Genomic DNA, 21,942 nt, shown 5'->3' with positions numbered 1-21,942 from the left:
ACTCAATTAGAGCCAGCTTTGGGGGTGACAGTTTCTGTCAGAAAAAAAAGGATCTTTATTTCATCCTTACTCTTCTGAAAAACTTCATTATGCAAGTCTTTAATCATTTACAAAATCAGATAACAGCATAATGAACTCCATGGGTGAATCCATCACACAGCTTCAATAGTTATTACCTTAGGGCTAACCTTGTTCCATCTGTATTAACTAAGATGTTCCTAGGTATGGATATCTTTGAATGTATCCTATTTAAGATTATTTATTTATTTATTTTTTGAGAAGGAGTCTCACTCTCGCCCAGGCTGGAGTGCAGTGGCGCGATCTCGGCTTACTGCAAGCTCCGCCTCCCGGGTTCATGCCGTTTTCTTGCCTCAGCCTCCCGAGTAGCTGGGACTACAGGCGCCTGCCACCACACCCGTCTAATTTTTTGTATTTTTAGTAGAGACGGGGTTTCACCGTGTTGGCCAGGATGGTTTCGATCTCCTGACCTCGTGATCCACCCGCCTCGGCCTCCCAAAGTGCTGGGATTACAGGCGTGAGCCACCATGCCCAGCCGCCCTATTTAAGATTCTTAAAACCGTGGATCAGGGCTGGGTGCGGTGGCTCACCCCTATAATCCCAGCACTTTGGGAGGCCGAGGCAGGCGGATCACGAGGCTAGGAGTTCGAGACTAGCCTGGCCAATATGGTGAAACCCCCACCTCTACTAAAAATTTAAAAATTAGCCGGGCGTGGTGGCGCGTGCCTATAATCCCAGCTACTCAGGAAGCTGAGGCTGGAGAATTGTTTGAACCTGGGAAGCGGAGGTGGCAGTGAGCCGAGATCATGCCACTGCATTCCAGCCTGGGCAACAGAGCGAGACTCGTCTCCAACAACAACAACAAAAAGTTGGGTGTGGTGGCTCACGCCTATAATCCCAGCACTTTGGGAGGCTGAGGTGGGCAGATCACGAGGTCAGGAGTTCAAGACCAGCCTGGCCAAAATACTGAAACCCCATCTCTACTAAAAATACGAAAATTAGCTGGGTGTGGTGGCACGCACCTGTAGTCCCAGCTACTCGGGAGGCTGAGGCAGGAGAATCGCTTGAACCCGGGAGGCAGAGGTTGCAGTGAGCTGAGACTGTGCCATTGCACTCCAGCCTGGGCAACAGAGTGAGACTCCGTCTCAAAAAAAAAAAAACAAAAAAAAAACTGGATCAGTAGCTTTCTTCAGTTCTGAATACTTGCTAGCCATTATCGTTTCAAACATTTTGTCTGCCACCTTTTCGAACTCTGATTAAATGTATAATGTATAATAGACATTTCCACTCTTCTTCCATGTCTTCTCTTCATGTCTCTTTTTTTTTTGTCCCTGCATTCTCAATAATTTTTTCTGACTTATTTTCTAATTCACTACTTCCAACTGTTTAACCTATCCATTAGTTTTTAAATTTTGGTTGTTCTATTTTCTTTTTCTTTTTTTGAGACGGGGTCTCAATCTGTTGCCCAGGTTGGAGTGCAGTGGCACAATCATGGGTCACTGCAGCCTCAACCTCCCTGGGTTCAAATCATCCTCTCACTTCAGCCTCTGAAATAGCTGGGACTACAGGCACATGCCACCATGCCTGGCTAATTTTTGTATTTTTTGTAGAAATGGGGTTTCACCATGTTGCCCAGGCTGGTCTCAAACTCTCAAATACCTGGGCTCAAGCAATCTGTCCACCTTGGCTTCCCAAAGTGTTGGGATTACAGGCGGGAGCCATCATGCCCAGCCAATTCTTGTATTTTTTCATTTCAAGAATCAGTATTTAGTTCTTTTTATTTGTTTGAATCATGATCCAGGAAAGACACACACCAACACTGTCAAGACCATTTAAAGAAAAAAAGTTGTGGTTTTTTTTGACCATTTAAAAAAAGAAAAGGTTTTTCCAATAAATGGTGCTGGTACAACTGGATAACCACATGCAAAAGCATCAGTAGGACTCTTACACCACATAAAAAAATTAACTCAAAATGGATCAAAGACCTAAACATAAGAGCTAAAAGTGGTTGGGCACAGTGGCTCACACCTGCAATCCCAGTACTTTGGCAGGTCAAGGTGGGAGGATCCCTTGAGCCCAGGAGTTCAAGGCTGCAATAAGCCAGATCTCATCACTGCGCTACAGCATGGGTGACGGAGCGAGACCTTGTCTCTGGGAAAAAAAAAAAAAAAGAAAAAAAAAAGCCAAAAATATAAAACTCTTAGAATAAAACAAAAACCTGGGTGTACACACATCTTTATGACCTTGGATTTGATGATTCTTAGATGTGACACTAAAAGCATGAGCCACAAAAGAAAAAAATGGATTAATTGGGACTTCATCAAAATTAACTTTTGTGCATCAAAGGACGCTATTAAAGAAATAAAAGACAACCCATAGAATGGGAAAAAATATTTCCCAATAGTGTATCTGATAAAAGGAATCAGATATATGTAAAGAATTCTTACAACTCAACAACAAAAAGACAGTCCAATTTAAAAATGGGCAAAGGGCCGGGCATGGTGGCTCACGCCTGTAATCCCAGCACTTTGAGAGGCTGAGGCGGGTGGATCATCTGAGGTCAGGAGTTCGAGACCAGCCTGGCCAACATGGCAAAACCCTGACTCTACTAAAAAAAAACACACAGAAACTAGCTAGGCGTGGTGGCACGCTCCAGTTACCGGGTTTCTTTTGTGGGTAGTAACATATCAGGAATTAGTGGTAATGATTGCACAACATTGTGAGTGTAATAAAAGTTACGAAGTAACTGTATACTTCAAAATAGCTCCTGTGATCCCAGCTATTCAGGAGGCTGAAGCACGAGGATCACTTGAATCCGGAAGGCAGAGGTTGCAGTGAGCCAAGATCGTGCCACTGCACTCCAGCCTGGATGACTGCAGAGCAAGAAAAAATAAAAAAAATAAAATGGGCAAAGGGCCAGGCGTGGTGGCTCACGCCTGTAATGCCAGCACTTTGGGAGGCCAAGGCGGGCAGATCACCTGAGGTTGGGAGTTCCAGACCAGCCTGACCAGCATGGAGAAACCCCGTCTCTACTAAAAATACAAAATTAGCTGGGCATGGTGGTACATGCCTGTAATCCCAGCTACTAGGGAGGCTGAGGCAGGAGAATCGCTTGATCGTCTCAAAAAAAAAAAAAAAAAAAAAAAAAAAAGTCCATACAATGGACTTTTATTCAGTCATAAAAAGGGAAAAAGTACTGATACGTGCTACAACATGAATGAACCCTGAAAACATGCTCGGGAAGCTGGGGAGTGGCTCATGCCTATAATCCCAGCACTTTGGAAGGCTGAGGCTGGAGGGTTGCATCAGCCCAGGAGTTCAAGACCAGCCTGAGCAAAATCGTGAGAACCCCGTCCCTTTAAAAAAAAGTTGGGCACGGTGGCTTACACCTGTAATCCCAGCACTTTGGGAGGCCGAGGCAGATGGATCACCTGAGGTCAGGAGTTTGAGACCAGCCTGGCAAACATGACAAAACTCCATCTCTGGACATTTCATATAAATAGAATCATAAGGCCGGACGCGGTGGCTCATGCCTAGGCTGGAGTGCAGTGGCACCATCTCGGCTCACTGCAACCTCCACCTCCTGGGTTCAAGCGATTCTCTGCCTCAGCCTCCGGAGTAGCTGGGATTACAGGTGCCTGCCACCATACCTGGCTAATTTTTGTATTTTTAGTAGAGACGAGGTTTCACCATGTTGGCCAGGCTGGTCTTGAACTTCTGACCTCGTGATCCACCCGCCTCGGCCTCCCAAAATGCTGGGATTACAGGCATGAGCCACCGTGCCTGGCCTTATGATTCTATTTATATGAAATGTCCAGAATAGGCAAGTCCATGAGACAGCAGATTAGAGTGGGGAGAGGAGACTGGAGAGCCAACAGCTTAATAGTTACCGGGTTTCTTTTGGGGGTAATAACATATCAGGAATTAGTGGTAATGACTGCACAACATTGTGAGTGCAATAAAAGTTACTGAAGTAACTGTATACTTCAAAATGGTAAAAAAGTGAATTTCATGGTATGAATTTACCTCAGTAAAAAAATATTAAAAATTCAGTTTGTAAAGCTATTTGATCACTGAACTTCTGACCTTAATAAATGCATTAACAGTAACTATTTTCTAGATACTAAAATTATAACTTTCCCTTTGTCTAAAAAATTAGAAGTTTCCAATTTGCAAAAGCAGCTCTCACAAAAGCATGCCACATATAAAGGCAATGGAGCATGGCTTAATAGAAGGTAAACACCGTTTGATTAAAACTCAGCACTACATCGTATTTTATCATCATTACTGAATATACAAACATTACCAGATAAAATAACTATGGCAGGCCGGGTGCAGTGGCTCACACCTGTAATCCCAGCACTTTGGGAGGCTGAGGCGGGCGGATCACTTGAGATCAGGAGTTTGAGACCAGCCTGGCCAACATGGTGAAACCCCCATCTCTACTAAAATACAAAAATTGGCCGGGCGTGGTGGCGGGTGCCAGTAGTCCCAGCTACTCGGGAGGCTGAGGCAGGAGAATCTCTTGAACTCGGGAGGTGCAGGTTGCAGTGAGCCAAGATCAGGCCACTGCACTCCAGCCTGGGTGACAGAACGAGACTCTCTCAAAAAACAAAAACAAAAATCTTCATGTATAACTAACTGACAACCCAAATTACACACAGACATCCTGTAATCTGGGACTAGATTGCTAAATCTACTATTCCCATCATCTTCCTGAAATAAAGTCTACAATCTAGACATCTACAAAGGGGGAAAAATGACATTATTTAGGTTCATTCTTTCAAATAATTACTGAGTACCTAACTTCCCGCCAGGCACTCTTGTGGGTGTTGGAGATAAAGCAATAAACGTTGTACTCTCAGAGCTAATTTTTATTGGAGGTGGACAGGCAACCAAACAAGCAACTAGAAAGGATGTTAGAGATTTGGGTGCTTTGAAAGTAATCAATAGGATATTGTGTTGGGAAGAAGGACTACTTTAGATGATCCTATTTAGGGAAAGCCACCCTGAGATGACATGGAGGCCAGGATGTGAAAGTGAGACCTGAAAAGGTCTTGAGGAAGAGCAAGCACTTCAGGCAGTGCCAACAGCAAGAGGAAGGGCTCTAAGCAGGAAAGGAACACATTGCTACCTTGTAGAGTCAGAAAGGAGTAAGTGCGGTTAGAGCGTTTAGAATCGGGGGATAGTGGCAAGACGTGGGTCCAGGGATTGGATCTTAGGTGCATTGAGAAAGTATGGGAGGGATTTACACAGGGGAGCAATGAATTAATCTGCTTTATGTATTTAATGGATCACTCTGACTGCTAGGTGGAGAGTGGGTTGTGTTTAGAGTGGGGACGTGACCAGACGGTGTGGATACTACAGAGTTGCCCAGATAGGAGGTGATGGTGGCTGGGACTGAAGGTGGAAATGGGGCAAAGGGAACATATTCATGATACATTCTTGTGGTAGAGCTGGGATGACAGAGGGAAATCAGAGAAAAACGGAGATGCCTAGGTTTGTATTAAGTTTGAGCAAACAGGATCGTGTTTAACTGAAACAAAGGGGCATGGTTTGGGAATTGGAGTCATATTAAATTTGAGATACCTATTCCATATCTGAACTAAAAATGTAAAATTGGCTAATGATAAACTTTGCTAGAAAAAAACATTACCCAAATAGGGTACCCGATTTGACTAAAATTCCTAATGCTTTGGGAAAAGTTATTAATCAAATAGTGACAGATTATGGCTTTTTTGGGGGGGAGGGGTGTTGTTTTCTTGGAGAACTGACCCGTTTGTTGTTATAAAGGGTTCTCTCTTTATCCCTGATACTTTTTTTTTGAGACGGAGTCTCGCTCTGCCACCTAGGCTGGAGTGCAGTGGTGCGATCGTGGCTTACTGCAAGCTCCGCCTCCCGGGTTCACGCCATTCTCCTGCCTCAGCCTCCTGAGTAGCTGGGACTACAGGCGCCCGCCACCACGCCCGTCTAATTTTTTTGTATTTTTAGTAGAGACGGGGTTTCACCGTGTTAGCCAGGATGGTCTCGATCTCTTGATCTCGTGATCCGCCCGCCTCAGCCTCCCAAAGTGCTGGGATTACAGGCGTGAGCCACCGCGCCCGGCTATCCCTGATAACTTTATTTCAAATAGTGACAGGTTAAAAGTTAAGAGCGGATGTTTCAGTATCTAGTTTCCCAGCGTCTTGCCAGTTACTTTAAGCTTGTCGACAGGAGTTTGATTTCACTGACCTCCCTCCTTCCTAGAGCTATGCTTACTTTTTAAAATTTTAAGAAGCTGCTTCATTTGCCCATTCTTTCAACGCATTGTTGTGTACCGGCACTGAGTCAGTCTTTTTCTTTCTTTCCTTTTTTTTTTTTTTTTTTAAGACAGAGTCTTGCTCTGTTGCCCAGGCTGGCGCGCAGTGGTGCTATCTCGGCTCACCGCAATGTCCTTCCCGGCTCCAGAGATTCTCCACCTCAGCCTCCTTCGTAGCTGGAACCAAAGGCACGAGCGAGCACGCCCGGCTAATTCTTTGTATTTATAGAGAGGGGGTTTCGCCATGTTGCCCAGGCTAGGTCTGTCTTAAAAGAGCTTCTTCCGGCCAGGCGCGGTGGCTCACGCCTGTAATCCCAGCACTTTGGGAGGCCGAGGCGGGCGGATCACCTGAGGTCGGGAATTTAAGACCAGCCTGACCAACATGGAAAAACCCGTCTCTACTAAAAATACAAAATTAGCTGGAAGTGGTGGCGCATGCCTGTGATCCCAGCTATTCAGGAGGCTGAGGCAGGAGAATCGCTTGAAGCCGGGAGGCGGAGGGTGCGGCAAGCCGAGATCGCGCCATTGCACTCCAGCCTGCGAATCAAGAGCGAAACTCCGTCTCAAAAAAAAAAAAAAGCTTCTTCCTTGACGGTTCCCTTTTCCCATGAAATTCAAATGCTTCATTTTATCCCTCATCCTCTTGGCCTTTGCAGTCTTGCTCCCAAGGCTCTTCCCTGCCCGCCAACTCTCTCACTTGGGAACATAGCTCCGTAAGCCTCTGCCCAACCCTTCTCCCCGGCGAGCCCAGCGCCCCAGAGCCCTGCGCAGGGGAATTCGAGTGCGGAGGGCGGCAGGCATCCGTGGGGACCTGGTTCAACTCCTTAGACCGGTTCTTCACCGTCAGCGACTCTCCCCTGACAGATTAGGGTAGGATTTAGAAATGAGAAATGGAAGCGCTGGCTGGGCGGTAGCCGCTGCCATGGCTTCCCGTGTGGTCCTCATCACATGCTATTGTATCTGTTAATTTATTAGGCGCAGGGCCGACTCTGAGGGATCTAGTGCCAGGACAAAGCCAGGCACTGGTGAATGAGCAAACACCTGTGTATGGCTGCTTCTTCCAGCCCTACCTGCTCCATACCCACCCCCAGCGCAGCATTCGAATCTTTGTGATCTCGGCGTCCACAGGGAATTTCGACGCAAGCTGGCGTCAGCCTCAAATTCCCGCTCTGGCAACAAGGCTGACCAAAGACCGATGCATGCCGGGATGAGGCTGGATTGACGATCTCTTGCGACGCTGAAATGCATTTCGGGAGATGTAGTCACACAGACGGGCGGTGGCTGCGCAGCGTAGCTCCGCCTCCTGCGTGAGAGGAAGCGGGGACGTGTGAGGTCACTTCCTGCGTGTTGGGTGGCTTCCTGCGGCGTTTCCACTCTCGCTCTCCTTTCGTTGCCTGATCGCCGCCATCATGGGTCGCATGCATGCTCCCGGGTGAGCTCGGGGCATCAAGCCGGATTGCTGGGCGGGGGGTGGGAGGAAGACAGGGAGTGTGGGCAGCGGGCCGAGGGGATGATGTTCTGGGCTGCTCTGGCACTAGCCGCCACCTCACCTCGAGACTGCTTCTCTCCCCAGGAAGGGCCTGTCCCAGTCGGCTTTACCCTATCGACGCAGCGTCCCCACTGTAAGTAGCGCGCTGGGACCGGGGAGAATCCGGGGAGGGGGTTGGCATTTGTCTCGGGTGAAGCGACGCCAGGGTGAGGAACTTGCGTGTATGAGGAGCGCGGTTTTGCGGAAGGAGAGACCGCTGTTCTGCGGCGCCATTCCTGGGTTCTCATCCTAAGGCTGCTTTCTATTCCATAACAGTGGTTGAAGTTGACATCTGACGACGTGAAGGAGCAGATTTACAAACTGGCCAAGAAGGGCCTTACTCCTTCACAGATCGGTGAGTGTTTGTGTCTAACATAGCCTATTTCGCCTGTCCTCGTGTGACTTGTAGGATCTAGTAGGTGGTAAAGTTATTTTAAAAATAGCCAAAACTCTGGTCTCGCCACCGTGCTAGAGGCATCATTGTAAGCACTTCACATGTACTGATTTCGTTTAATTCTGACCACAATACTTTGAAATAAATCTTCATGGCTTTCACCCCAGTTTACAGTTGAGGAAGCAGAGGCACACTGCCGCTGGATACTAACCAGCCCCAAATCACACAGCTGTCAAGTGGAGGAGTTGGAATTGGCTAAGCAGAGTGCCTGACACAGTTCCTCACAGTTAGGTGTGGTTTGAATCTCAGCTGCGTGTGACTTCGTGCAAGTGGCTTCATTCAGCAAATGTTTACCTTCTATGTGCTGAACATGGTTCTGGGGCCTGAGAACATACTACTCTCCGACTCCCCCGCCCAAAAAAGCCAGCCGCAATGTGCCTGTAGTCCCAGATACTTGGGATGCAGAGGTGAGAGGATCACCAGAGCCTAGAAGTCCCAGGCTGCAGTGAGCTATGATGAAGCCACTGCACTCCTGGGTGACAGAGAGACCCCACCTCTTTTTTTTTTTTTTTTTGAGACAGTCTTGCTCTTGTCGCCCAGTCTGGAGTGCAGTGGCGCGATCTCAGCTCACTGCAACCTCCACCTCCTGGATTCAAGCGATTCTCCTGCCTCAGCCTCCCGAATAGGTGGGATTACAGGCGCCCGCCAGCAGGCCCAGCTAATTTGTGTGTTTTTGTTTGAGACCGATTCTCACTTTGTCACCCAGGCTGGAGTGCAGTGGTATGATCTCGGCTCACTGCAACCTCCGCCTCCTGGGTTCAAGCAAGCAATTCTCCTGCCTCTGCCTCTGGAGTAGCTGAGACTACAGGCCGCACCACCACGCCCGGCTAATTTTTGTATTTTTAGTAGAGACGAGGTTTCACCATGTTGGCCAGGCTGGTCTCAGACTCCTGACCTCAGATGATCCACTGCCTCGGCCTCCCAAAGTGCTGGGATTACAGGCGTGAGCCACACCACCTGATCCCACCTCTTAAAAGGGGGAGGGGGGTGCAAAATATCTGTACTCCTGGAGCTTGTAGTCTAATTGGAGGTATGACACATCAAAAGAAAATATGTCATAGATTGTAAGTAGTCAGAGCTCATTAGAGGTTTAAAAGAAATAACGTGTAAAGTTTTTAGAAGAATATCTGACCAGAGTTCTCAGTAAATGTTAGCTGTGGAATCTCATTAATCCCTTTGGTCATCTGTATTCCAGCAAGCTCACTGTGATGATGGTTTTCCAACATTCGCAGTTTCCACCAGAAAGGTTTTCCTTAGTGTTGGGTAAACCTTCCTTGGATGTCTGAGTGAGCTTTATGTGCATTCTCACGTTGGTTTCTGTGATGTATAAAAGTATACCCCCATCTTACAGATAGGAAACTATGCCCTGATTTCTGAGCCTTGACATCATCACATTCTCCAGTTTGTGTTTCGTGTTGAAAGTTAAAACGTGATTCCCTTTTCAGGTGTAATCCTGAGAGATTCACATGGTGTTGCACAAGTACGTTTTGTGACAGGCAATAAAATTTTAAGAATTCTTAAGTCTAAGGGACTTGCTCCTGATCTTCCTGAAGATCTCTACCATTTAATTAAGAAAGCAGTTGCTGTTCGAAAGCATCTTGAGAGGAACAGAAAGGTAAGCTAATAAATAAAACCTGGTGCTAAGTAGGACTGCTTGTACTAAATTTTTTCGGTAAAATGTAATGCATCTGGTTTGAATTATCCAAGGCTTAGTACACAAACCAGTGTAGTGCTGCTTTGAAGTTCAAATTCTATCCAAAGAGATTTTCATTATAGAAAGTGCATGGTAGCTCTACATTCTCTTATTAATGTTTGATAATGTTAGGTCATTTTGGGTGGTTTTCTTGAATTGCACCAAATTTTATTTTTAGGATAAGGATGCTAAATTCCGTCTGATTCTAATAGAGAGCCGGATTCACCGTTTGGCTCGATATTATAAGACCAAGCGAGTCCTCCCTCCCAATTGGAAATAGTAAGTATCAACTCTTTTGTCGTTGTTATCAAGAATAGGAGTCAGCCAGTAGTAAAAGTCCTAGTAGTAAATATGTTCAGCCTTGGGGGCTAGTAGTAAATATGTTCAGCCTTGGGGGCTATTTTGTTAACTGCTCTTTGAGCTCTGGCCTGGTAGTGGGAAAGCAGCCACAGGCAATACATAATCGAATGGGTGTGGCTGCTTGTCTTTAATAAAGACAAGCAGAGGGCCATAGTTGCAGACCCCAGATTTAGACCATGAATAAGCCCTTTGACTCTCTTTTAGATAGTAGGTAGATTTTCCTTTCATACCTCTACTCCCAGGAGTTTGAATTAATTTTCACATGAATTGCTCACTATGATGATTGGTTGCCAGACATTCGCAGTTTCCACCAGAAATGTTTTTCCTTATGTTGGCCAGTTCTTCCTTGGATGTCTGAGTGAGCATCTTCATTCATTGTGCTTGAACACAATGAGTTGGTTCAGGTATTCAGAAGTTTGGTGCACTTTATATAGTTTGGATTTATTAACTGTTTGAGAATAGCACCATTAGTGGGGAGATTCTGTTAATGAATGTGGAGGGACTAGTATTAATCCTGATTTTCTTTCTTTCCCCTTTTTTCTTTTTCAGTGAATCATCTACAGCCTCTGCCCTGGTCGCATAAATTTGTCTGTGTACTCAAGCAATAAAATGATTGTTTAACTAAAAGCATGTTTCATATTTATTTTCCTAGAAGAAAAATTATATATATCAGTGGTTCATATGTGTTGATCTTGTTTGATGGGGAAGTGTTTTGGGTGATTGATGTTAGGATTCCAGGGAGCAGTAAGATACTGTCCATCACATCCCTTGATTGGCCCCTTAAACCAGTTGAGCAGCTTATAACCTCATAGGTGGTTGCTTTAAACATGGAGAACTGGAAGACACTAGGAAATAATGCCTTTGTGTTTGTTTTGGTGTCATGGCAAAAATGTTTCTAAGTATTTTTGATACATTTAATGTTAAAAGACTGAGACAGATCCCTGGCAGATGTTAACCACTTGTAGCATCAGAAATAGTAATATTAGGTTGGTGCAAAAGTAATTGTGGTTTTTGCCATTACTTTAATGCAAAAACCACATTTACTTTTGCACTAACCTAATACATAAAAGTGTCACTGGAGGGAGGGGAATCTGATATGGAGAGACATTGGATCTTGTGGTGAGGGTTAAAGATGAAGGAATCTAGGGGACAGTAAACAGGCACAGTTCGTCTGGAGCATTGGGGGTTTAGGAAGAATATCTGAAGTGGGCTTGGGTTCCTGGCCTTTGAAAATCTTTGGATGGGTTAAAGTAAGATTTACTTGTTCTGGTATTGTGTTTTAATTTAATTCTTAACCTAATGGGGTACATGGGTATTGCTGCTTGAATGAGTAAAATCTCAGACAACCCTAGGGAGTGGTTCAAGGTTATAAGACTTAGAAATGGTTAAGCTGCATGTCTGGCTGGTGTTTGTTGACAGAGCCATGATCCTTCAGAATTCAGAAATGGCTGCACGTGTTGGCTCACGCCTGTAATCCCCGCACTTTGGGAGGCCAAGGTGGGTGGATCACCTGAGGTCAGAAGTTCAAGACTAGCCTGGCCAACATGGTGAAACCCTGTCATTACTAAAAATACAAAAATAAGCTGGGCATGGTGGCAGGCACCTGTAACCCAGGAGGTGGAAGTTGCAGTGAGCTGAGATCACATCACTGCACTCCAGCCTGGGTGACAGTGAGACTCCGTCCAAAAAACAAAAAAAAAGCATCTATATGCTTTTTTTTTTTTCCCTAACATCTACTTTGACCCAGTTGGAAATAGCATATGCACATTATTTTTCCTAATCTATCCGTGTGAGCACCTAGAATTTGTAGGTTTCCTGCAACAACTGTTTTCTTCCTTGAAAAATCATCTTTTCAAGTGGTAGGTGTCCATCTTACAGTATCGCTCTGTCGCCCGGGCTGGAGTGCAGTGGCGTGATCTCAGCTCACTGCAAGCTCTACCTGCCGGGTTAATGCCATTCTCCTGCCTCAGCCTCCTGTGTAGCTGGGACTACAGGCACCTGCCATCATGCCCGGCTAATTTTTTGTATTTTTAGTAGAGACGGGGTTTCACCGTGTTAGCCAGGATGGTCTCGATCTCCTGACTTCGTGATCCACCCACCTTGGCCTCCCAAAGTGCTAGGATTACAGGCGTGAGCCACTGCGCCCAGCCGATTTTTTTTTTTTTTTTTTTTTTTTTGAGATGGAGTTTCACTCTTGTTGCCCAGGCTGGAGTCCAATGGCGCAATCTCTTCAACTGCAACCTCTGCATCCCGCGTTCAGGTGATTCTACTGCCTCAGCTTCCCAAGTAGCTGGGATTACAGGCATGAGCTACCATGCCTGGCTAATTTTGTATTTTTTTTTTAGTTGAAACAGGGTTTCACCATGTTGGTCAGGCTGGTTTTGAACTCCTGACCTCATGTGAGCCACTGTGCCCGGCCCATCTTATTATTCTTAAACTTACACATGTATGTGGTTTTATTTATCTTTTCAGTCTCACTGTCACCCAGGCTGGAGTGCGGTGGTGTGATCTTGGGTCACTGCAACCTTCACCTCCTAGGTTCAAGCAATTTTTGTGCCTCAGCCTCCTGAGTAGCTGGGGTTACCGGTGCCTGCTACCATGATTGGCTAATTTTCGTATTTTCAGTAGAAATGGGATTTTGCCGTGTTGGCCAGGCTGGTCTCAAACTCCTGGCCTCAAGAGATCTGCTCACCTCGGCCTCCCAAATTGCTGGGATTACAGGTGTGAGCCACTGCGCCCAGCCTGTTGAATCATTTGGTAAGACATAACTAAAAACAATCTTTTCCTTTTTGCAGCCCCACCTTCCTGAAGATGAGGGCAACCACTTTAAATACATAGCTGTTTTTCTGGTATATAATATGCCTTCTTATCATTTTCTTTTGGAGACAGAGTCTCGCTCCGTTGCCCAGGCTGGAGTGCAGTGGCATGATCTCGGCTCACTGCAACCTCCACCTCCCAGGTTCAAGCAATTCTCTTGCCTCAGCCTCCCGAGTAGCTGGGATTACAGGCATACGCCACCATGCCCAACTAATTTTTGTGTTTTTAGTAGAGATGGGATTTCACCATGTTGGTCAGGCTGGTCTTGAACTCCTGACCTCGTGATCTGCACGCCTTGGCCTCACAAAGTGCTGGGATAACAGGTGTGAGCCACCGCGCCCGGCCCACTTTCTTATTTCTAAGTAACATTCTTTTTAAAAAAATTGAGGTGAAATTCACATTATAAAATTCCCCATTTTAAAGTGAACAATTCAGTGGCATTTGTTTGTTCATAATATTGTACAACCACCACCTTTATGTAGTTCCAAAACATTTTTCATCACCTTGAAGCAAAACCCCACACTCCTGTTGACTTAGTCCCAGCATTTTGGGAGGCTGAGATGGGAGGAACGCTTGAGCCCAGGAGTTTAGAGAGCAGCCTAGGCAACATAGACTTCTGTCTCAAAAAACAAAAAGCCCATACTCATTAAGCAGTTATCCCCATTTTTCACTCCCCCCACCAACCCCTAGCAGCCACCAATCCGCTTTCCGTTTTTATGGATTTGCCTTTTCTGGATATTTCATATAAGTGGATTCATACAGTATCTGACCTTTTGTGTCTGGCAGTCTTTCACTTAGCATGATGTTTTTGAGGTTCACTAACATAGCATGTGTCAGTACTTCATTCCTTTTTGTGGCTGAATAGTATTTCCCTATGTGTACCACAGTTTGTTTATGCATTTATTAGTTGATGGATATTTGGATTGTTTCCACCTTTTGACTGTTTCAAATAGTGCTGCTCTGAGTATTTGTGTACATGTACTTGTTTGAGTACCTGTTTTCAATTTTTGGGGTGTGTATCTAGGAGAATTGCTCCAAATAACATTTTTATGCCCCTTTCCTGGCATCCTCATAATTCTGTAATCGTTTATGGTTCAATCAATATTCTGTGTTTACATTTCTATGACTTTTATATACAGTGTTGACGTGATTCCATATTTACAATTCTGTAAATATATCTACAAAAAAATGTTAGTAATTACCTTGTTTTTCCATGTGCTTAAGAGTTCTGTGTTCCTGTTTCTATCTCATCCCCAAACTTTGAGCCATAGTTTAATCTCAGTATATTCAAACAGGGTTGCTCTTTTTGTTTTTCCTTGGTGATACCCTCCCAGGATGCTTCATCCTCTAGTGCCAGTTTAGACATCTTACCCTGAGACCTGTAGTTCTGGAATCCCCGTTCACCACCAATCTGAATATTCTGTCTCCAGTGTCAGATTCCTCCTTCCTTATCTTCTGTCTTCCTCTTTCTTGGTTTGCTCCCTTTTGGAGGATGTGGGAAACACCGCCTCTAGCAGTCCCTAACAAAAGGCTCAGTCCTTGGACCTCATTTTTTCTGTTCATCTCAACTCCTGTAACTTCATCTCATCTATGGCTTTCCATGCCATCTTTAAAGCTACTACACTCAAATTCATATCTCCAGGGCAGACCCTCCTTGGACTCCAGACTTAGGTGTGCATCTGCCTATTCTGTATCCCCCCTTGAATTGCTGATAAACACCGGATATTTTGACTCTTTTTTTTTTTTTTTTTTTTTTTGAGACGGAGTTTCATTCTTGTTGCCCAGGCTGGAGTGCAATGGCACGATCTCGGCTCACTGCAACCTCCACCTCCCAGGTTCAAGTGATTCTCCTGCCTCTGCCTCCCAGTAGGTGGGATTACAGGTGCCCACCATCACTCCTGGCTAATTTTTTGTATTTTTAGTAGAGATGGTTTCACCATGTTGGCCAGGCTGATCTCAAACTCCTGACCTCAAGTGATCCGCCCGCCTCGGCCTCCCAAAGTGCTGTGATTACAGGCATAAGCCACCGTGCCTGGCCGGAAATAATTTTCCTTAAACGTTTTTAGCATCGCTTATTGTTTATAGCTTTAAAAACAAAAACCAAATGCTATTGCCGAGAAGTCAGATGTTATGCTGATTCCTACTCCTTTGTAACTTGGTGGTTTGTTTTTTTCTTTTTTGACTGGATGCTTTCAGGATCATCTTATTAGTGCTTGATCTTCTGAAATTTGCAAAAATACCTTGGCTTTTATTTTTTTCATGTTTTGCAAGGAACTCAGTGAACTATTTCAGTCTGAAAATTGTCTTGCAGTTCTAGGAAATTTTCTTGAATTATTCCTTTAATAATTTCCTTCCCCACTATTTTCTATGTTCTCTTTGCAAAACTCATTATTTGTACATTAGACTTTCTGGAACTCCCACCATGGCCGATTTCAAGTTACTAATGGGATGTTACAACCAGGGGTTGGTATGAGATGCTCAGGAGCAGACCATTACATTGTATCTCTCCTCTGCAGATATAACAGACATAAATGACTTGGAGACCATGGATAATAGTGAAATGGTGTGAAATAATTAGAAAGTGGTGAGTTCTGAGGATTTACTATACTTGTTTTGAATATACTTTATCTGCGAGTTTATATGATTTTTAATGCCTGTGTTTAACTGGCTTGCAGCATTCCTGAAAGCTTGAGAGTTGGCTCTTGTGAGCCCATACAAACCAGCCCCAGTGCACCACTGCTCAGAGTTCAGAGTTCATCCTTGTTCCGTTTTTTTTTTGGAGGTAGAGTCTTGCTCTATCCCCCAGGATGGAGTGCAGTGGCATGATCTCAGCTCACTGTAACCTCCACCTCCCAGGTTCAAGTGATTCTCCTGCCTCAGCCTGTCGAATAGCTGGGATTACAGATGCCTGCCACCATGCCTGGCTAATTTTTGTATTTTTAGTAGAGACGGGGTTTCGCCATGTTGGTCAGGCTGGTCTTGAACTCCTGACTGCAGGTGATCTGCCCGCCTCGGCCTCCCAAAGTGTTGGGATTACAGGCATGAGCCACTGCGCCCGGCCTTGCAGTGAGTATTTTGTAAGTATGGTAGTTTCCCCCCTTTTTCATGGTTTCCTTTATCCATGGTCAATAGTGGGCTGAAAATATAAAATGGAAAATTCTAGAAATAATTCATAAATTTAAAATAACTTTTATTACAGTATATTGTTATAATTGTTCTATTTTATTATTAGTTGTTGCTAATTTCTTACTGTGCCTAATTTATAAATTAAACCTTATCATAGGTATATATGTGTAGAAAAAAATAGCATATAAAAGATTTTGTACTGTCCACAGTTTCGGGCAACCCCTGGGGCCTTGGGACATACGCTCTGCGGACATTGGGGAACTACCATATTGTCTCATTTAGTCCTCATGGTCACTCTATGAGGTAGATAGTATTAGCCTCTCCATTATTCAGAAGAAACTGAGGCACAAAAGGTAAAGTAGGCAGACAATTTGACACACTGGTGAGATGGAAAAGTCATAAGGGAGGCTGGGTGGCGCTCCCTCCTGTCATCCCAGCACTTTGGGAGGCCGAGGTGGGCAGATCACTTGAAGTCAGGAGTTCAAGACCAGCCTGGCCAACATGGTGGAACCCTATCTCTACTAAAAATACAAAAATTAGCCAGGCGTGGTGGCGTGTGCCTGTAATCCCAACTCCTCAGAAGGCTGAGGCACAAGACTTGCTTGAACCCGGGAGGTGGAGGTTGCAGTGAGCGGAGATTGTGCCACTGCACTCCAGCCTGAGCAACAGTGTGAGACTCGGTCTTAAAAAAAATAAAGAAAAAGAAAAAAAAAAGTCATCATGGAGGAGCAGAAAGTGAAGCCATGGTCACATGAAATTGCCTAAGGATAGAAGAGTCCAGCTTCTTTCCCATCTTACCTCCATTGCACCCAGCTGGGCCCCTCTCAGGCCTGCCCTCCTGGCAGTAAATGGTGTGCCTGGGTCCACCTCGGGTGTGGTAGACTGTATGACCACAACAGGCCAGATTCAGTGGCTCATGCCTGTAATCCCAGCACCTTGGGAGGCCAAGGCAGGAGGACCTCTTGAGGCTAGGAGTTTGAGATCAGCCTGGGCAACATAGTGAGACTCACATCTCTACAAAAAATAAAAAAGCTAGCTAGATTTTTTTTTTTCCAGAACTTGGAAGGCCAAGGTGAGAGGATTGCTTGAACCCAAGAGTTTGAGGCTGCAGTGAGCTATGATTGGGACAGAGGGACCCTGTCTCTGGAAAAAAAAAAAAAAAAATGACCACAACAAAATCTGTCCCACTTGTCTTCTTGAACCTTACTGCTCTCCAGTCAAGATGTGGTGTCTAATTCCTCTCCCTATCAACATGGCAGGCTGTGGCTGGCTGTAACAATAGAATTCAGCTGAAGTGACACCTGAGGAATTCCGAGACCAGGGCAGAAAATGCCTTGTTGCCTGGGACACTCATGTCTGGGATCCTGAGCTGCTGTGCAGGCCCACCCCGAGGCCTCCATGCTGTGAGGAAGCCTCGGCCATGTGTGGGTGCTCTGGAAAACAGCCATGGTGGAGGTCCCATGTGACAGCCGGCGCTAACCACCAGGCTCCTGAGTGAAGATACCTCCACATGATACCTGCCTCCAGAGCCTTTGAGTCGCCCCAGCCACTCAATCTTCCCAGCTGAGACTACAGACATTCTGGAGTAGAGAAGCCATTCCTGTAGTACCCTATCTGAATTCTTTTTTTTTTCTTTCATAGAGACAGGGGTCTCCCTATGTTGCCCAGGCTGGTCTCAAACTCCCGGGGTCAAGCAGTTATCCTGCCTTGGCCTCGCAAAATGCTGGGATTACAGGCATGAGCCACTGCACCTAGCCCTGAATTCTTGACCTACAGAATCCTTGAGCATAATCAAATGATTGTTTTAAACCACTAGGTTTTTGGGGTAATTTGTTTCATAGCAAAAGTAAGGAGAACATTTTGTTGAGGAGAAAGAGGCTGTGTTTCTATGGTCCTACGGCTGCTGGAGGGACAGGGCAGAAGCTTTCACTTGCCTTTCCCCATTTGCCATGCCTCCCTGCTCTCATCTCATCTCAGCCTGTACTGGAATTACCTGTGGATGTGTCTGTCTGCCCTACCAGACTGGACTGTGAGCCCCTGTTGGGGAGGATGGCAGAAACTGTCTTGGTTGCCTCATATTCCCAGTGCCCAGCACAGAGCCTGGCACATAAGATAATCAGCAGATCCTTGCTGGGTACATGCACAGCGGTTGGTCTGATGTTTATTTCCCAGTTAGAACTGCTGGCAGTGGGGATCCCAAACCTTTTCCAAGGACTTCGTGGGAGCTGGAAGGAAGCTCTTGCTGGCTGCCTCCCACAGAAGCATATGATTGGACTGAAAGCAATTTTTCTGAAAGCATTCTGGTGAATACAACATTTTGATTGAAACAATGATTTGATTGAAAATGAGTATTTCCCAGTTGTTGTTTTTTTAAATATATATAATGTTGGTCATTCTCATGCTTTATCAAGCAATTTTCAATGCTTTAAGTTTTTAAGCATTTTTGTCCTTTTCCTGAACTTTTCAGGGGTTTTCCCTAATTATTTGTAATTTGTTTTTTAGCCCACTTTTACTGTTTTTTCAATATTTGTAATAGTACAAAATTGGAACTGCCTAACTGATTAGTGGGCTGCTTAAATTAAGGTATGAAATGTACCTCAATATATTAACATATATACAATAATTCCAGTTTTGTTAAAAAAAATTATGCACAAACATACAAATATCTAGAAAGATATCCACCAATGCTTCTTGACCAGGAGGCATTCACTGGGATACTCCCAGAAGACTTTTAAAAATAGTGATTTCTTTTCCTTTTGAGACCGAGTCTCACTCTGTTGCCCAGGCTGGAGTGCAGTGGCATTAGCTCACTGCAACCTCTGCCTCCTGGGTTCAAGTGATTCTCGTGCCTTAGCCTCCCGAGTATCTGGGACTACAGGCACCCACCACCACACCCGGCTAATTTTTCTATTTTTAGTAGAGATGGGGTTTCACCATGTTGGCCAGGCTAGTCTCGAACTCCTGACCTCAGGTGATCCTGCTGCCTCAGCCTCCCAAAGTGTTGGGATTACAGGTGTGAGCCACTGCTCCTGGCCTAAAATACTGATTTATTTATTTATTTATTTTTTTGAGACAGAGTCTCGCTCTGTTGCCCAGGCTAGAATGCAGTGGTGCAATCTCGGCTCACTGCAGTCTCCCCATTCTGGGTTCAAGCAATTCTCCTGCCTCAGCCTCCTGAGTAGCTGGGACTACAGGTGAATGCCACCATGCCTGGCTAATTTTTGTGTTTTTAGTAGAGAGGGGGTTTCATCATGTTGGCCAAGCTAGTCTGAAACTCCTGGTCTCAAGTGATCCGCCAGCCTTGGCCTCCCAAAGTGCCGGGATTACAGGTATGAGCCACCGTGCCCATCCTAAAATACTGATTCCTTCATGCCTGTAATCCCAGCACTTTGGGAGGCTGAAGTGGGAGGATCGTTTGAGTTCAGGAGTGTGAGACTAGCTTGGGCAAAATAGTAAGACTCTGTCTCAACAAAAAATAAAAAAATTAGGCCAGGTGCGGTGGCGCATACCTGTAATCCCAGCACTTTGGGAGGCCGAGGTGGGCGGATCACGAGGTAAGGAGTTCAAGACCTGCCTGGCCAATGTGGTGAAACCCCATCTCCACTAAAAATACAAAAAAATTAGCCAGGTATGGTGGCGGGCACTTGTAATCCCAGGTACTTGGGAGGCTGAGGCAGGAGAATTGCTTGAACTCAGGAGGCGGAGGTTGCAGTGAGCTGGGATTGCACCATTGCACTCCAGCCTGGGTGACAGAGCAAGACTCCATCTCAGGGGGAAAAAAAAAAAAATTACTCATGGTGGCACATGCCTATAGTCCCAGCTACTCAGGAGGCTGAGATGGGAGGATTGCTTAAGCCTGGGAGATCAAAGCTGCAGGAAGATCACTACTACACTCTAGCCTGGACCACAGAGCAAGACTCTGTCTCTGAAAAGTAAAAACAGTTTTGGTTTTTTTTTGAGACGGAGTCTTGCTCTGTGGCCCAGGCTGGAATGCAATGGCACAATCTTGGCTCACTGCAACCTCTGCCTCCCGGGTTCAAGCGATTCTTATGCCTCAACCTCCCAATTAGCTGGGATTACAGGCACATGTCGCCATGCCCAGCTAATTTTTGCATTTTTAGTAGAGAGGGGGTTTCACTATGTATGTTGCCCAGGCTGGTCTTGAATTCCTGACCTCAGGTGATCCACCCACCTCGGCCTCTCAAAGTACTGGGATTACAGGCATGAGCCACTGCACCCGGTCACTAAAAAATATTTTTTAAAAATTGATTCCTTTACTCCAGAAAGGGAAGAAGAAGAGATGGATACATAGGTAGGTAGGTAGGTAGGTAGGTAGGTAGGTAGATAGATAGATAGATAGATAGATAGATAGATAGATAGAGATTCCTGAGCTCTGTCTGGGAAAGCAGAAATCTGCTAGGATGGGGAGTGGGTTGGGAGTGGGGAACCAGACATCTGTATTTTTAAAAGGCATCTAGGATTGGGACCCCTGACTTAGAATCACAGAAGAGTAAACCAAGTAGGTACTTAATTCAGTCCTCATTTTGTGTATGGGTGAGTTAGACTCCAAGAAGGGACTTGCTCAGGGTCACACAGTGGGAGGGATGACAAGGACTAGAGTCCAGGCCTCCTGGCTCCTGGCCTAGTTGCCCTTTCCTCTTTGTTCTTGCTCCAGGTGTGAAAAGAAATTGTCTCTAGGTGGGATTATGGGATTTGTTTGAATCATTCTTTTGCATGTTTCTATTTTCTGACGTTTCTGTAAGAGTATCAGTTGCTTTTGGCACAAGATAAAAACAAAGAATAAAAGAAAGGATAAGGCCAGGTGCAGTGGCTTATGCCTGTAATCCCAGGACTTTGGGAGGCCAAGGCAGGTGGATCATTTGAGGTCAGGAGTTCAAGACCAGCCTGGGCACAGGGACATGGTGAGACCCTGTCTCTACTAAATATACAAAAATTAGTCAGGCCTGGTGGCTCATGCCTGTAATCCTAGCTACTTGGGAGGCTGAGGCAGGAGAATCGCTTGAACCCAAGAGGTGAAAGTTGCAGTGAGCTGAGATCACACCACTGCACTCTAGCCTGGACAACAGAGAGAGACTCTGTCTCAAAAAAAAAAAAAAAAAAAAGGAAGAAATAAAAGATAATTCTGTTAAAGCTATTTTACCTGGTGTCTCCTCCCCCACTTCCCTACCCTCCCTCCCTCCCCAACTACCAGCACCCCCGGGCAGTGGCACTACTTACTGTCCCATACCGCATTGCCTCTACAAAGACTGTGGCCTTTAGGGACAGTCTGGCTCAGAGTTAGGGACACACAGATCATACGTCTGAGCCAGGTCCAGGGAAGTCAGTGTACTCTGGGTACACAGATCCCCTGGGCCTGGCCCACCCAAGACTGCGTAGATGCCAGGTGGAGAGAGGCAGGCCCTAGAGTAGAGGTCCCCAGGGCACTGGCCCTTGAGCCACCAGGAAGCCCCACCAGAGGGCAGCAGAAGCCTGGTCCAGAGCTCCCATCAAGCCTCCCATGGGGATGTCACTGGGGTTCAGGGAAAGCTTCAGGGAGAATTTAGGTACTGTTCTGAAGGAGGGGAGTTGGAAAGGGTACTTTAGGTTTGTGTGAGGGCATGGCCTGTACAAAGCTAAGGAGGCAGGAA

At 45.7% G+C, this 21,942-nt stretch overlaps 1 protein-coding gene and 2 non-coding genes across 3 annotated transcripts, besides 1 other annotated feature; all 3 read left to right on the top strand.

The window, feature by feature from the left end:
- Positions 7,467-7,666: an enhancer, noted in NCBI's record as "active region_4484". NCBI's record gives its function as "activates an Ori minimal core promoter by ATAC-STARR-seq in GM12878 lymphoblastoid cells {active_cell/tissue: GM12878}" and the evidence as "EXISTENCE:reporter gene assay evidence [ECO:0000049][PMID:35858748]".
- On the top strand, positions 7,700-10,979 carry RPS13 (ribosomal protein S13). The gene is made up of 6 exons (NM_001017.3): positions 7,700-7,748; positions 7,890-7,938; positions 8,121-8,199; positions 9,744-9,913; positions 10,170-10,270; positions 10,901-10,979. The coding sequence occupies exons 1-6, from the start codon at positions 7,726-7,728 to the stop codon at positions 10,932-10,934; spliced, it is 456 nt and encodes a 151-aa protein (NP_001008.1). The 5' UTR covers positions 7,700-7,725; the 3' UTR covers positions 10,935-10,979.
- SNORD14B (small nucleolar RNA, C/D box 14B) lies at positions 9,499-9,589 on the top strand. Its single transcript, NR_001452.1, has one exon. It is a non-coding gene; the product is annotated as a small nucleolar RNA, C/D box 14B (small nucleolar RNA).
- On the top strand, positions 10,623-10,714 carry SNORD14A (small nucleolar RNA, C/D box 14A). The gene has a single exon (NR_000022.1). It is a non-coding gene; the product is annotated as a small nucleolar RNA, C/D box 14A (small nucleolar RNA).
- Positions 10,980-21,942: the final 10,963 nt, after the last annotated feature.

This window comes from Homo sapiens, chromosome 11, assembly GCF_000001405.40.
Source record: "Homo sapiens chromosome 11, GRCh38.p14 Primary Assembly".
NCBI lineage: Eukaryota > Metazoa > Chordata > Mammalia > Primates > Hominidae > Homo > Homo sapiens.
Note: the sequence above shows the minus strand (reverse complement) of the source record. Positions and strands in the feature narration are given on the sequence as shown.